Source organism: Homo sapiens, chromosome 11, assembly GCF_000001405.40.
Source record: "Homo sapiens chromosome 11, GRCh38.p14 Primary Assembly".
Lineage (NCBI taxonomy): Eukaryota > Metazoa > Chordata > Mammalia > Primates > Hominidae > Homo > Homo sapiens.
Window position 1 is genome coordinate 99,947,163 of NC_000011.10, and position 13,026 is coordinate 99,960,188.

General features: G+C 34.3%; 1 protein-coding gene across 12 annotated transcripts in view; it reads left to right on the forward strand.

The window, feature by feature from the left end:
- The window catches only part of CNTN5 (contactin 5), a 1,337,937-nt gene that overhangs the window by 926,214 nt on the left and 398,697 nt on the right, over positions 1 to 13,026 (forward strand). For all 12 annotated transcript variants that reach the window (XM_017017926.2, NM_014361.4, XM_011542871.2 and 9 more), the window contains one exon: positions 9,644 to 9,847. In XM_017017926.2, coding sequence (XP_016873415.1) covers positions 9,644 to 9,847 — 204 coding nt within the window. The remainder of the gene's footprint in view (positions 1 to 9,643; positions 9,848 to 13,026) is intronic.

Sequence of the window (13,026 nt, forward strand, 5' to 3'; positions counted from 1 at the left end):
AGTTTTTGTACTATTTATATTACTAGCATAACTTGTACCAATTTTTCTACTTTTGAAAAAGAACTCAACTAAAAAAAACCCCAGCCAAAACTTTCATGTTATGTGCATATGAATTAATAGTAATTTAAGATTTATTACAGTGATTACATATCAACAGAGATAAATATGTGTTTTATGATTAGGTTTTTTTTTTTTTTAAACAGGTGAGCAATAGGGACAAATTCTTGATGTAGAAAATAAACCATTTCAGTGCCTGTTGATAAATAGACAGTATCCACTATTTCTTCATGGTGCATGGCAACGTGACAAATAAATTACCTTCATTAAAGATTTGCATGAAGGATTAATGAGCATTAGTTAAGCCATAAAAGCACAAAAAACATTTTTGAAAAATTACATTGAATATAAGAATAAGTTGAGGGGCAGACAATCTCGTTATAATAATTTATCTTGCCTGAAGATTCTCTGCTGCACCTATGTGATAAATGAAGCCCAAAAGCAACTCAAGTTCCACATTTAACATAGAAAATTTAGGCAGTTCACAACTCTAGAGGGTTTTGTCCTCTGTGACTCACCTACCTATAAGGGGGACAATTTATAAAACACTTATTTGTTTCTGTTAGTATTCAGACTGCAATAAATCTTCAAATTTTCACCATAAAATCTGCATAACATGAAATTAAAAGAAGTTAAGCATTTTTAAAAATTCATAGTGAAAAAATGTTGAGTGTTTTAAATACCTGCCTTATGAATTTTCTTTTGCTTTTAATTCATAGAGCTAAGTTAAAATTTAATTATTCGTGTTATGTATAAATGACAATTATCCTTTGGATAAAAGGTAATATTTTACTAAGTAAAACACAGGAATATAAGAAAACTTTATTTTGCTAACCGAGGTCTTAATTTTCCTTCATTTGGAATACTGTCCAAGATTAAACCTTTCTACGCATCAAACACTGTCATCTTGTGGACTGCCATTGATTTCAGAAAATACAGGCTAATTTAAAAATTATTATCTGTGCGACTTTTCATGGTAAAATATTTGGACAACTCTGTAAATCTTAATGTAAGTGGAGATGAGGAATAGTATCCTTGTTTGTAACTGTGCAATAATGAAGCTTTTACATTTATGAACATCTGTATTTCAGGTCCCCGTGCTGGTATTTTATAGTAGGTCTCTACCCAGCAGGCCACATCCTTACTGTTTGATATGGTTAAGACTTGCATGGCATTGTGACCATGGTTTAATTACAGTGTGACTTAATGGTTAATAGAAATAATCACCAGCCTGCTTTTGTTCTGGTCTGGTGAGTGAAATCTAGACACCGCTCTAATTAGTCACTATTTCAAACATCTAACTTTTATTTGCAAAATTACATCCCATGCATATAAACCTCAATCTAGTAAACATTTGAAACCACTATTCACCAGGTTTCCTTTTCTCTTTTCAAATAAAGATCGATGCTTTGTAATAATTCTTAAGTTATTGGCAACTCTATGTCTTAGTTTTCCCATTTGTAAAATAAGGTTACCTATTCCTATGAGAATTAAATGAATTAATATACATAGAGCACACTGCCTGGCACATTCTAAGTGTGGTACACATTTACTAGATTGTATTGGTGCTCCATCCAGACCTTCACCCGATGCGTGCGCACATCCAGCAGCTGCTATGAAGATTGGCTGCTTCCTCTTCTCCAGAAAATTTGCCACACCTGGAAAATCGTGCTTCCTGCCCTCATTGCATTCCACCTGCCCCAGCCAGCAGCTAATAACTTATGGATACAGGGGAGAGGGTGCAAATAGCCTTTGCTGATACTCTTTGCCTTCTTTTGCCTCACTTACCAGTGCTGCAGTGAAAGTTGTGTTTGAGAACCCCAAGTGGGATCAATCTTAAGCTAATCTCCAACAGGGACCACATCCCTGGTTAGCTTTATTTTTTTCTCCCTCATCTTACCTCGCTTCTCTTAGTTTTTCCTCCTGGAAAAATGTTGTCAAATCATATCTGAGAGTCCTCTTCACTGACTCTATTTCTATAAACCCAATGAAAGACAATAAGTATCTACTCTTGTTGTTGTCGTTATGCCCACTGGTGTCTTGATTTAATGAAGGGTAAATGCTGAGATTACCTTTGTCATGTCCAAAGTTGAACGGAGTCCATGGAACGACTCCACAGCCTTTCAGTAGTTCTCCATATATATCTTTTTTTAAGCTAACATTTTCACAAATTTGATAAGCACATTAAGGTCATAGTCCCTGGCAAGATTCTGGGGCACAAATAGACTGTTGTTGGTTAAGGCAGGGATTTGGGGGCTTTATCAGTGAATTATGGGAAACCTGGAGTGAATGCTTTTTAATGCAAAGTTTGGAACCTAGGTTGAGATCGTTCCGCTGACTCTTGCACACTGTTGAGTAAACACTGGCCCTAGACCTGCTAAGAGCTTACAATTCAATACAACGTAAATTAAAAACCCCTTAGCAAAGCAAGAAATTTAGGCCGCCTTTTGAAAAGGGTTAGCAATGACCTTTATATCTAGACACAGGGCTCCTGGGATAAAAATGTCCTCCACACTGTGAAGTATTCCACAGAGAAAAGAAAAATAGTTGCTGTCACCCAGTTGGTATAATCACTTGAACTCTAGAACTTGGAATTCACTAGCTCAGACCTGCTTAAGTTGTGGATCATGAGATGACGCCAGTTTAGTACTGTTCTTATTATACATATTATTTTATTTATCTTATGTTTTTCTAAAGGTGTTTTGAATTAAATGTGCATAAAATATTTTCCTGTCTTGGTGACATAATTATGAAGAACTCTGCTTCTTTTGACTTTAGGTAACAAACATAATGAAAATACTTGTCTCCAAAGCATAAAAAAGAGAAAATTATTACTTTGTTTTGTTCAACCAAGATAACTAAAATTTAATGTAATAATACAGCCTACTTTGTTTTAAAGTAATTTCATTTTTCAAACATATGACAAGTATTCTCTTTTGCATTCTTCACAACATCTTTAAAAATATCTTGATTCTGAGGCTGGGCACAGTGGCTCACGCCTGTAATCCCAGCATTTTGGAAGGCCGAGGCGGGTGGATCACGAGGTCAGGAGATCGAGACCATCCTGGCTAACACAGTGAAACCCCATCTCTACTAAAAATACAAAAAAAAATTAGCCAGGTGTGGTGGTGGGCGCCTGTAGTCCCAGCTACTCAGGAGGCTGAGGCAGGAGAATGGCGTGAACCTGGTAGGCGGAGCTTGCAATGAGCCAAGATTGTGCTACTGCACTCCAGCCTGGGTGACAGAGCGAGACTCCGTCTCAAGTAAAAAAAATAAAGTAAAAAATCTTGATTCTTTCTCTTGGTACTAACCAAGAGTCAGACAGCTTTATTCTATTGTAACTTTCAGGATCTTCGTCTCTGGTTGTGTTTTTATAGATGAAACTTTTGACACTTGGAAATTAAATCCAATTGTACGAGGTACAAGATGAATTTATATTCTACAAAATTGTGCTTTATGCTAGATAGTTTATCCTGAGCCAATAGCTCCCCTATTGAGCAGTTTCTTCATGTTGAACACTCATTTAAGTGGCTTGTGTAATTCTCAGCATTACTACCACGTAGACATTATTGTCCCATTTTATGGATAGTGAAACTAAAGTTTAGGAAAATTAAATTACAATAATGAAAGAAGATTAATATAATGATAAAATATAGGCTTAGAGTGAGAAGAGAAGTTTTAATTTTCCCTCTGACTCTAATCAGCTGTAATTTTCCACTGGTTCTTTCACCTATTTGAGCCTCAGACCTTTGATGTTGAAGATGATTAAAATAATAATAACTATATTTCTGTAGAACTAATTTTACATGAAATATTGCATTTAACCTTCCCTTTCTTCCATCAGTTTTAGTTTACAGATGAGAAGATTAATGCTTGAGCAAAATTAAATAGCTTTCCTAAAGGTCATGTAGTTAGTAGGTCATGCAGCCATCTTTGAATGCCTGGTCTCTGTGATTTTGAAGTCCATGGTCTTACTCAAAATGCTAATTTCTAATGTGTCTGTGTGTAATAGGGAAAGTGGGGCGCACAGACCAAGGGAAGAACTAGGTAAAAAAAAAAAAACATGAAAAGTATGTGACTCACGGTAAACTCTTATGCTAATTTTTTCCCAGCTCTATCTGATATTTTCATAATATCCTCAACTGTGCTTTGCATATTTCACTACTACTTGTTGATATCCCAGTTGCCTTGATCTCAGTTCCCACCCCAAATCTAGGAGCCAAAATGATTTTTCTATATGATCCATTAAATAACTTGAGCTGCCAATCAGCTTCTTCAACAGAATATTAATAAGCATGCTCAAGCAGAGGCAAATAATTGGTCATCCATGAGGCTATTAACCTCTGATAGGGATTGGACTACCTAAAATTTAATATCCCTTATCTCTAATATTTCATCTAACTTACCTAGTAGAATAAATCATGAAGTTATTTGATAGTACCTTTGTAAAAATGATCTTTTTCTCTTTTGCTCATTCACAGTACATTCCAGATTGTTAAAACTGTCTATATTACTATAATAAATAGAGACTCAGTGTCTCTATTTAGCCCAACAACAAGCATCCTCTCTGACTCATATTCTCAAAGCCAGAACAAGCCAATTTTGATCTTAGAAAATTTGTAATGAAGTTTAATATGTGAAAATAAATCCACTCTTGTTCTTAAAATTTAGGGAGGTTTGTATAAATAGATTATAGATACATTTCTATCTCAAATATGCATTTATTCACCAAATATTTATGGAGCAACTACACACCAAGTATCTTGTTGAGTTTTAAAGGTATGATGGTGAAGAAGGTAGATTCAATCTCTGCTCTTCGGAGAGTAATTGACATGGCTAATAGTGACTTTTTCTGTTTCAATCAAGGTACACATCAGCATTGTAAAATATATTTCCCACCAATTTCAGGTTGTCCCTCATGCTCAGTAGTAATGAATAATTAAGCGGACAATTCTCTACAATTTCTATCATAATGTCACTAATTCAGAGATCCAAAGTGGTAGGATTGGGTACAAACTTTCAAAAAAGAAAATAATTGTAGTGAAAATTTTTAAAACCCTATTTTTCTCCAGGAACTTACTAAGTTATCCTATTTAAGTGTCTTCACTTCAATTAAGTCATCATGAAAGAGAGGAGATGAGTCATAATGGATGATGGAATTATGAAAATAAATGTGATTAAAAGACAATTTGTAAATATTAAAATGCTCCTGACATATACTCTCCTAAGCAGCATCAGTAAAAATTAATACAAGCATATAGAAAATAAATAAATGCAAAACTTGAACTATTTAAAAAACAAACTAAAAGTTATTTATTTTTTATTTTTTTGATTTGGGGTCTAACTCTATCATCCAGGCTGGAGCGCAGTGGCACAGTCACAGCTTATGGCAACTTTGAACTCCTGGCCTCAAGCTACCCTCTCACCTCAGCCTCCCAAAGTGCGGGGATTACAGGCTTGGGCTGCTGTGCCTGGACAAAAGTTATATTTTCATAATAAAGAACAAATTATAAATATGATTTTTGGCAAATGAAACATTAAATCTCATATTACAGAAATAACAAAAAAATAGGGATTTTGGTAAATAAGGCCTGTTAACTGAGAATCTTACCATAAAGTTGAGCATTTTATAAAAATAGAGAAGCTTCTGATTTTTAAGTTTTTCTTTCTGTACTTACAGGGATAAAGAAAATAGGCTCCCTGGGACAGTTTCGTTATTAATTGAGTCATTCAACAACTCAGATGCTATATCCATTGTGTTCTCTCCAAATTCTTTGACCCAAAGCCTCTGATGTGTACACACACTATTAGAAAGAAGAATGGTTATTTCCCAACATGTAGTTATATTAAAGAATGTTGAATCACTGTGATTACTCATTGAACTTGTTTTCAAAGACTTCAGAGAGTCCAGTATGCAGTTTCATTCCCCATTCTCACACTTTTTTTTTGTTAATGGCACTGCAGTTAAGAGAAATGAGCATCATTGTCCACATGTGTACTCCTGTTTTTGTATACTCTGTAGATGTGGAAATGCGTCACTTAAATAATCATCTTTTTAGGGGAGCAAAGAGAAGATCTTCTGTTTATTGACACTGAATCAGTTGCAGCAATTGCATAGAAAGTCTGCAATATTTGAATCCCTAAAATCTGGACATTCAATTAGGGCAGGAGACAGCTAACCTGGAAATGTTCTCACTACCAAAATTTAGAAATGATGACTGAAATAAAGCAGCGAAAATTCCAATATGTAGCTGATCTCACAAGAAAGAAAAGGAAATCCCGAAGTATCAGAAACAAATAAGAACTAAAATCCAAAGTATACTCTCTGGTGTTAACCCTGAGGAGATCTTGGAAGCAAGGTACATTTTTTATATGTTACAGAAGTAGACCCTAAAGTCTAAAACCTAGAGGATGAATGATCATGCCAAGGGCAAAGGACAAGTCCTTGGGCCTGCCTAAGAATGGAAGTTGAATAGCAGTGTCTGCCCAAGTCAGACTCCAGATGGAATGACCTGCTGGTTCAGAGTAGAAGACAAAAATTCCCCAATGAGAAACCAAAAGCCTATGCAGCACATGTATTTGTGGCCCAAATGCGTATTACCACATAGTATCAAAAATATGCGATTGAAATTTAACATAAACATTGATCCTTTTGTTGCAATTGCTTTTGGTGTTTTAGTCATGACTTCTTTTCCCGTGCCTATGTCCTGGATGATATTGCCTAGATTTTCTTCTAGGGTTTTTATGGCTTTAGGTCTTATGTTTAAGTCTTTAATCCATCTTGAGTTAATTTTTCATAAGGTGTAAGCAAGGGGTCCAGGTTCAGCTTTCTGCATTTGGCTAGCCGGTTTTCCCAACACCATTTTGTATACCTGTGTAACAAACCTGCATGTTCTGCACATTTATCCCAGAACTTAAAGGATAATAATAAAAAAAGAAAGTAAACTACATAGAAAAATGGGGAAAAAAATTGATCCTAAGTAGGGTTCATGCAAAAGCATTCTCGAGGAAGACTTTCATAACGTAGATGCACAGTATATCTCAAAGTGGTCATTGTCTGCTGAAATAGGGACTACTCACTGAAGAATCAGACCAAGAACTTCTAAAACATTTTAGTTGCTTTAGATAACCATACTGTTAAAAAAAAACCTTAAAAAGTGGGAAAATCATAGTTGACCAACTAATCTCAATATCTTCTGAAATGAATGCTACTACTACTAAATGTTTACCACCGAATAAGATCGGCATGCATTCAATTATTTTTAAGGGCCAGGTGCAGTTTGTATGGAAGAAAGTGGTGTATGAAGCTAAAGGCTGTGGCACCACAGCTAACCATACTATTTCCCTGAAATATTTTATAGTTCTCAGGTTACAATGTAATACTAAAAATAATTATAGATTTATAGTTTTTTTATGATTACTTTGAAGGCAATATTAAATAAATGTGAATAGATAATTGAAAACCTTATAGGAGGAAGTAAACAGGAATATTAAAAGATGTTTAGCTCAGTCCAATATTTTCATTTTTGGCACTGGCAGAAAATCCACTGCAAACTCAGGTTGTCAGCTCTTCTATTGCGTACTATTTCTACTTTTTATACTTCTTGGAATTATGAAATGCTTCACTACATGAAACTGAAAACTTACTTGAAGAACTAAATAAGCATTTTTGAGTCCCCAAATACTTACCCATGTGTAATATCTGAGAAAATACCAATTTTGTGTAAATGTTTTTCTCCTATTCTAAAAATACAAAACATTAACTCAACAAATATCATCTGTGTAACAGAAACAGTATTTTTAAATTTAATGAATGATGTCCTGTAATTGTTAGTTGCTTTCTTTTCTCTGTAACTTTAATATAAACCAAAAGCTAAGAAAACCCTTATTTTATATTAGATTTTAGTAAAATAATAAAAAAATTTGATTTTAGTAAATTATCTAAAATAAATATATATTAAAAAATATATGAATTATGTGTGAATGACAAGTAACACTTCCATTATAGCAATTAAAGGGATTCACATTGTTAAATGTGAGAAAGCCTTGAATTTAGAGTCTACTTGAGCTGTATAAGAACAAGTTGAAGTATTTCAATTATACTTTATGGAGTTCCTTCATTCCTTTGAGTAAAGTCATGTGGATATTTTAAATAAATTATTAATAAAATATTAAATGTACTGAAGGCTGTCAACTGGGTGATGGTAACAGTAAAAAACACTTTTCTTTATAAAACAATTGTTAAAATATTTGAAAGTTTTGGATTTTGTATCTGTATATTGTAATTATGCATTAATGCAATACAACATTTCAAAATTCTCAGGCTTCTGCTAAATATGTAATTTCCCCTTTTTTTTTGAGACAGAGTCTTGCTCTGTTGCCCAGGCTGGAGTGCAGCGGCATGACCTCGGCTCACTGCAAGCTCCGCCTCTCAGTTCAAGCCATTCTCCTGCCTCAGCCTCCCAAGTAGCTAGGACTACTGGTGCCCACCACCAGGCCCGGCTAATTTTTTTTTTTTTAATTTTTAGTAGAGACGGGGTTTCACCATGTTAGCCAGGATAGTCTCGATCTCCTAACCTCATGATCCGCCCGCCTCGGCCTCCTAAAGTGCCAGGAGTACGGGCGTTAGCCCCCGTGTGCAGCCTATATCATTTATTTTAATAATAAATATTAGCGAAATCTTGCTTAGAATCAATGTTCAACTCGTCATTGAAATTTTTCTGTGGAAAACAGACCTGAAAATATTTAAGTATCCATTATTCCTTCAGACTTGTTTTATATCCTCTTTACTGTTTTTCTTATATTTAAATGGTGCAGGTAGAAGGAGCTCCTAACATAATAATGTTTAGTTAGGCTGGGATGATAACAGAAATGTTACTTTTCATATTTTATGAATGCATATTATTCATTAAGTTCTTAGGTACGTTGTCTTGGTGGAAGCTTATGAAGTACGTAATATTCTAATTATATGAATTTTAAAAATGAACCTCAAAAAGTTAGTTAAATACTGGCTCAGTTTAAACCATCATACTGTCTCTGAAAGTCCCAATGAACTTAAACTTAATTTAGAAGTTAAACTAAGTTACAAAATGGGATGTGTGTAGAGAACATTTGGACAGAAGACATGTAGTTTGCCTTTCTTTGATAAGTTTAATTGCTTAAGTGTCCCTGTCTCACACCTTCTTTACAATAAGGTCTATATCTGTATCTTCTTATTCTACATTGTTTCATAGGTTTGGGTAAATTTTCTTCATTAAATTGATCTTTGAGAATGGAAAATTGTCTCTTACCTTTCTATTTTCAGTGTTATCATAGTTCTGAGTACCTAAAACATGTTCAGTACACATTGGAATTGAAAGAATAAATAAACGAGTCAAGGTCAGACATCGTAAGAAATATTTCAGATCTCACCGTAGTCATTAACAATAATCCTTTGAATATAAAATACTAAATTATATAGATACATGGATCAAATATGTATGACCTTGCAATATATCTAATGCTTTCTAAAGGCTTTGTTGTTTGAGCTTTGTCTGTTAATGAAAAAATCAAAGTCTTTCGTTGACCAAATTTTGTGTATTTTCAGAGATCATCTATAGCTGGGTATTTAATGAGTTCCCTTCCTTTGTGGCGGAAGACAGCCGGCGGTTCATCTCCCAGGAGACAGGCAACCTTTATATTTCTAAAGTCCAAACATCAGATGTTGGCAGCTATATTTGTCTGGTGAAAAACACAGTGACGAATGCTAGAGTCCTTAGTCCTCCAACGCCACTCACTCTGCGTAATGATGGTAAGTTGCTTGGCCCGTTAAAATGGTCAGCCAACTCTAATTTGGAAAATAAAGATGTATTAGTGTGTGTTTTTTTTTTAAGACCTGGAACTTACAAATAAAATAAAAAGGCATTTGCCATATTTAGACACTACATTTTTAGGCCAGGATTTTGCATGCCTTAGAATAAAAGTTTAGACATAAGAAATTGATGATCCATGGTTGAGAAATATTCACCATAATGCTACTCTAATGCCAGAAAGGGAGAAAGAATCTGATAAAAAGAACCATAATAAATACTCCACAGTTCTTTCCTTTGCTCTTCAGTGCCTCTATATAACATATGTGTATGAATTGCAAGCATTTTATGGGTTCACTTTTCATTACATTTTTATTTTAGCTGCCTTCAAATTGAATGCTCAGGTTTTAATACTTCATGGTATAGTTATAATTGTGATTATTACTTTTCCAATAATAGGAGCAGTTGGAACTGTAACTTTTAGGTGCAAATCAGGCAGAAGTGATGATTCTATAATTATAGTATTGCCATCTATCCAAAGTATCTTCAAATTTAAACACCTCATTTGTATTTATAGACATGTACAGTTAAGCATTGCATTAAAGAATTCAAGTGCTATATTACCATTGATATATGATGTGTAGTTTGCTCTGTCATGCAGCAAAAAATCTATGAAGGCGTTATTAAGAAGCATGAGAATCCTGGTTGATTGTGAAACTTAAAAAATAATCTATTTAAGTGCTGTTTTTTCATATGCTTGGTTTTAGAATATATGCTGCTGGAATGTATGACCAGAGCTATATCACAAGATTTTTGCTTACTACTTAGTTTATATAGACTTTGTTGTTTGCGTGTGTGTGTGTGTGTGTATATATGTTTATATGTATATATATAAACATTTAAATATGTGTATTTATGTAAACAAGTCTATGAAACTTCATAAACTGTGAAGTATGTATTATATATACATATATAGATAGAGATACACAGTATTATATAAAATATATATAATAGTAACAACACCATCAGGTAAAGGGTAAAAATGTAATATTCATTTTAAAGAGAAGAAAGCCAGTATTAAAGAAATGATGAAAATTGCTAAAGGCCTCACAGTTAGGTAACGGCATGGAGAAACCAGTAGAAAAAAGAATGCTGACTTGGAAACCAATTCAGGGGCTACAAAAACTAATCCGCCAAGAGGCGATAAATGACTGAACAAAAGCAGTGATGGTAGCACTGGAGGACAGGAAACATTAACTGGGATATTAAGAAGGTAGGATTACCAGCATTTGATAATTAATGAATTACAGGCTTTGGAGTAGGTGGAGGCTAGCATACACAAATATTTCAAGGCTTTAGCAGAGTTCATTGAATGGGCGATGATTCTCCTCATCAGAAAAGAACACAGCTGAAGAAGTAGAGAAGTAGTTAAAAATGAGGAATTCAGTTTTGAATATGAGATACAGGGTACATGGGAAATCCATGTGAAAATTGGGAATAGGTAATCAGATACATATTCCTAATACCCATAAGAGAGAGCTGGGCTACTGAAAGAGATTTAAAAGTCATCATTGTGTATTACATCACCATAGAATAATGTGTATATATTATGCCAACTTCAAGATTGTGTAAGAGTGTCTATAGATGGAAAATAAAGAAATGCAGTTTTACAGTTTATCTAATTAAAAGCTTTGAATTAATTCTCTATAAGCTATTTCTCCAAAACTTCTGAGCCCCTTTCTCCCTGATTTCTTAAGACGTTATTGCATTCTTATCTGAAAATTATAACTTTTTTGGCTAACAATTAATTCCATTTTCACTATCCATCTGTATAATAATACTTTATATTTGAATAGTGCCTGAGGTTGAGGAGGCTCTTCCACCTTCTTTTCACACCAGAGACCTCTTTCTACACATTGCCGATCACAAGGGAGAGTAGCACATGTGTAAGACAGTGTCCATGTGCAAGAGTGTTTTGCACTTTTGGTTCATGGCCCAGATATATCACTTATCTTTACGTTCTACCTTCCATGGGCACACATTTCATGAATAATCATTCGCTGATATTTAAATCCCTTTGCCTCTGTGTCTTCTGTTGCCCTTGTTTGGCAAAACCCCAACTCCAGTGAACTCAATTATACTCTTACCCTGTGACTGCCTTGAGATTCTGAAAGCTACCTGAAATGTTTACACCCACCAGGGGTTCATGATCATCAATTTCAAGTGGGCTCTCAACATTGCCATTCAATCCCAAGTTTCTGTGGACAGCTTAATTTGCTACTCTCCCCTAAATTTTTGGAAACTTCTGTGCTTTCCTTAGACTGGATTGCCTCACGACCACCACTTCACAAAAACTGTGTACCTTATCAAATCATCTTCCTACTAATAAAATTTAAATCTTAACTGCATCTCCATCTGCATTGTTATCTCCCATCCTATTTCAATAGAGATAGTATACTGTCCATCCTCCTGTTACAACCAATTCCTCCATCCTGTACTATTGAGAATCATTCCCTCCAGCCTTTCAGAAAATTACACTATAAGTCATTGCTTCTTATATAACAGAATTCTAGGTCACTAAACTAATACTGTTTTGGTCATTATGTTAATTGAACTGACTGTAGCAGTTGACGTTGTTGACACTTTTTTCTTTTACAAACGTCTATATTTTCAAAAAGTCATTATTTGAGAAGTACTATATAAAAGGCTCAATAAAGCAAGTATAAATCAATAAAACAAAACTGTTATTTTAAGGTTGACATTTAACAAAAACAAAAAAACCAGGTAGGAAGCATCTGCTAAATTTCTGTTACATCGTTCAGTAACAGTCTTATTTTTTACCAGAGAAGCTACAAAATTTACATTTGTTTTTTTCTGTAACTTACCTAAGGCTATTGCTTTCTCGGCTTTTATTTGTCCATTTTTTTTTTAAATCCACATTGAATGAATGTAGTGACATAGAAAAACAAAACAAAACAAAAACCCACAAAATCCTACTCACCTCTCCCTGCCACTAAATCTCACGCTGGAGAGCCAAACTTCTAACTTCCCTTTTTTGTTGTTGTTGTTCCATAAGGTTCTCATAAAATGCTAGAAAATATCTGCACGTCTTGGTTACTCAAGCTTAAACAATAACTGTTTATTCCTTCATTTGATAAGTGTGCATAAGTTTCTTCCTTCC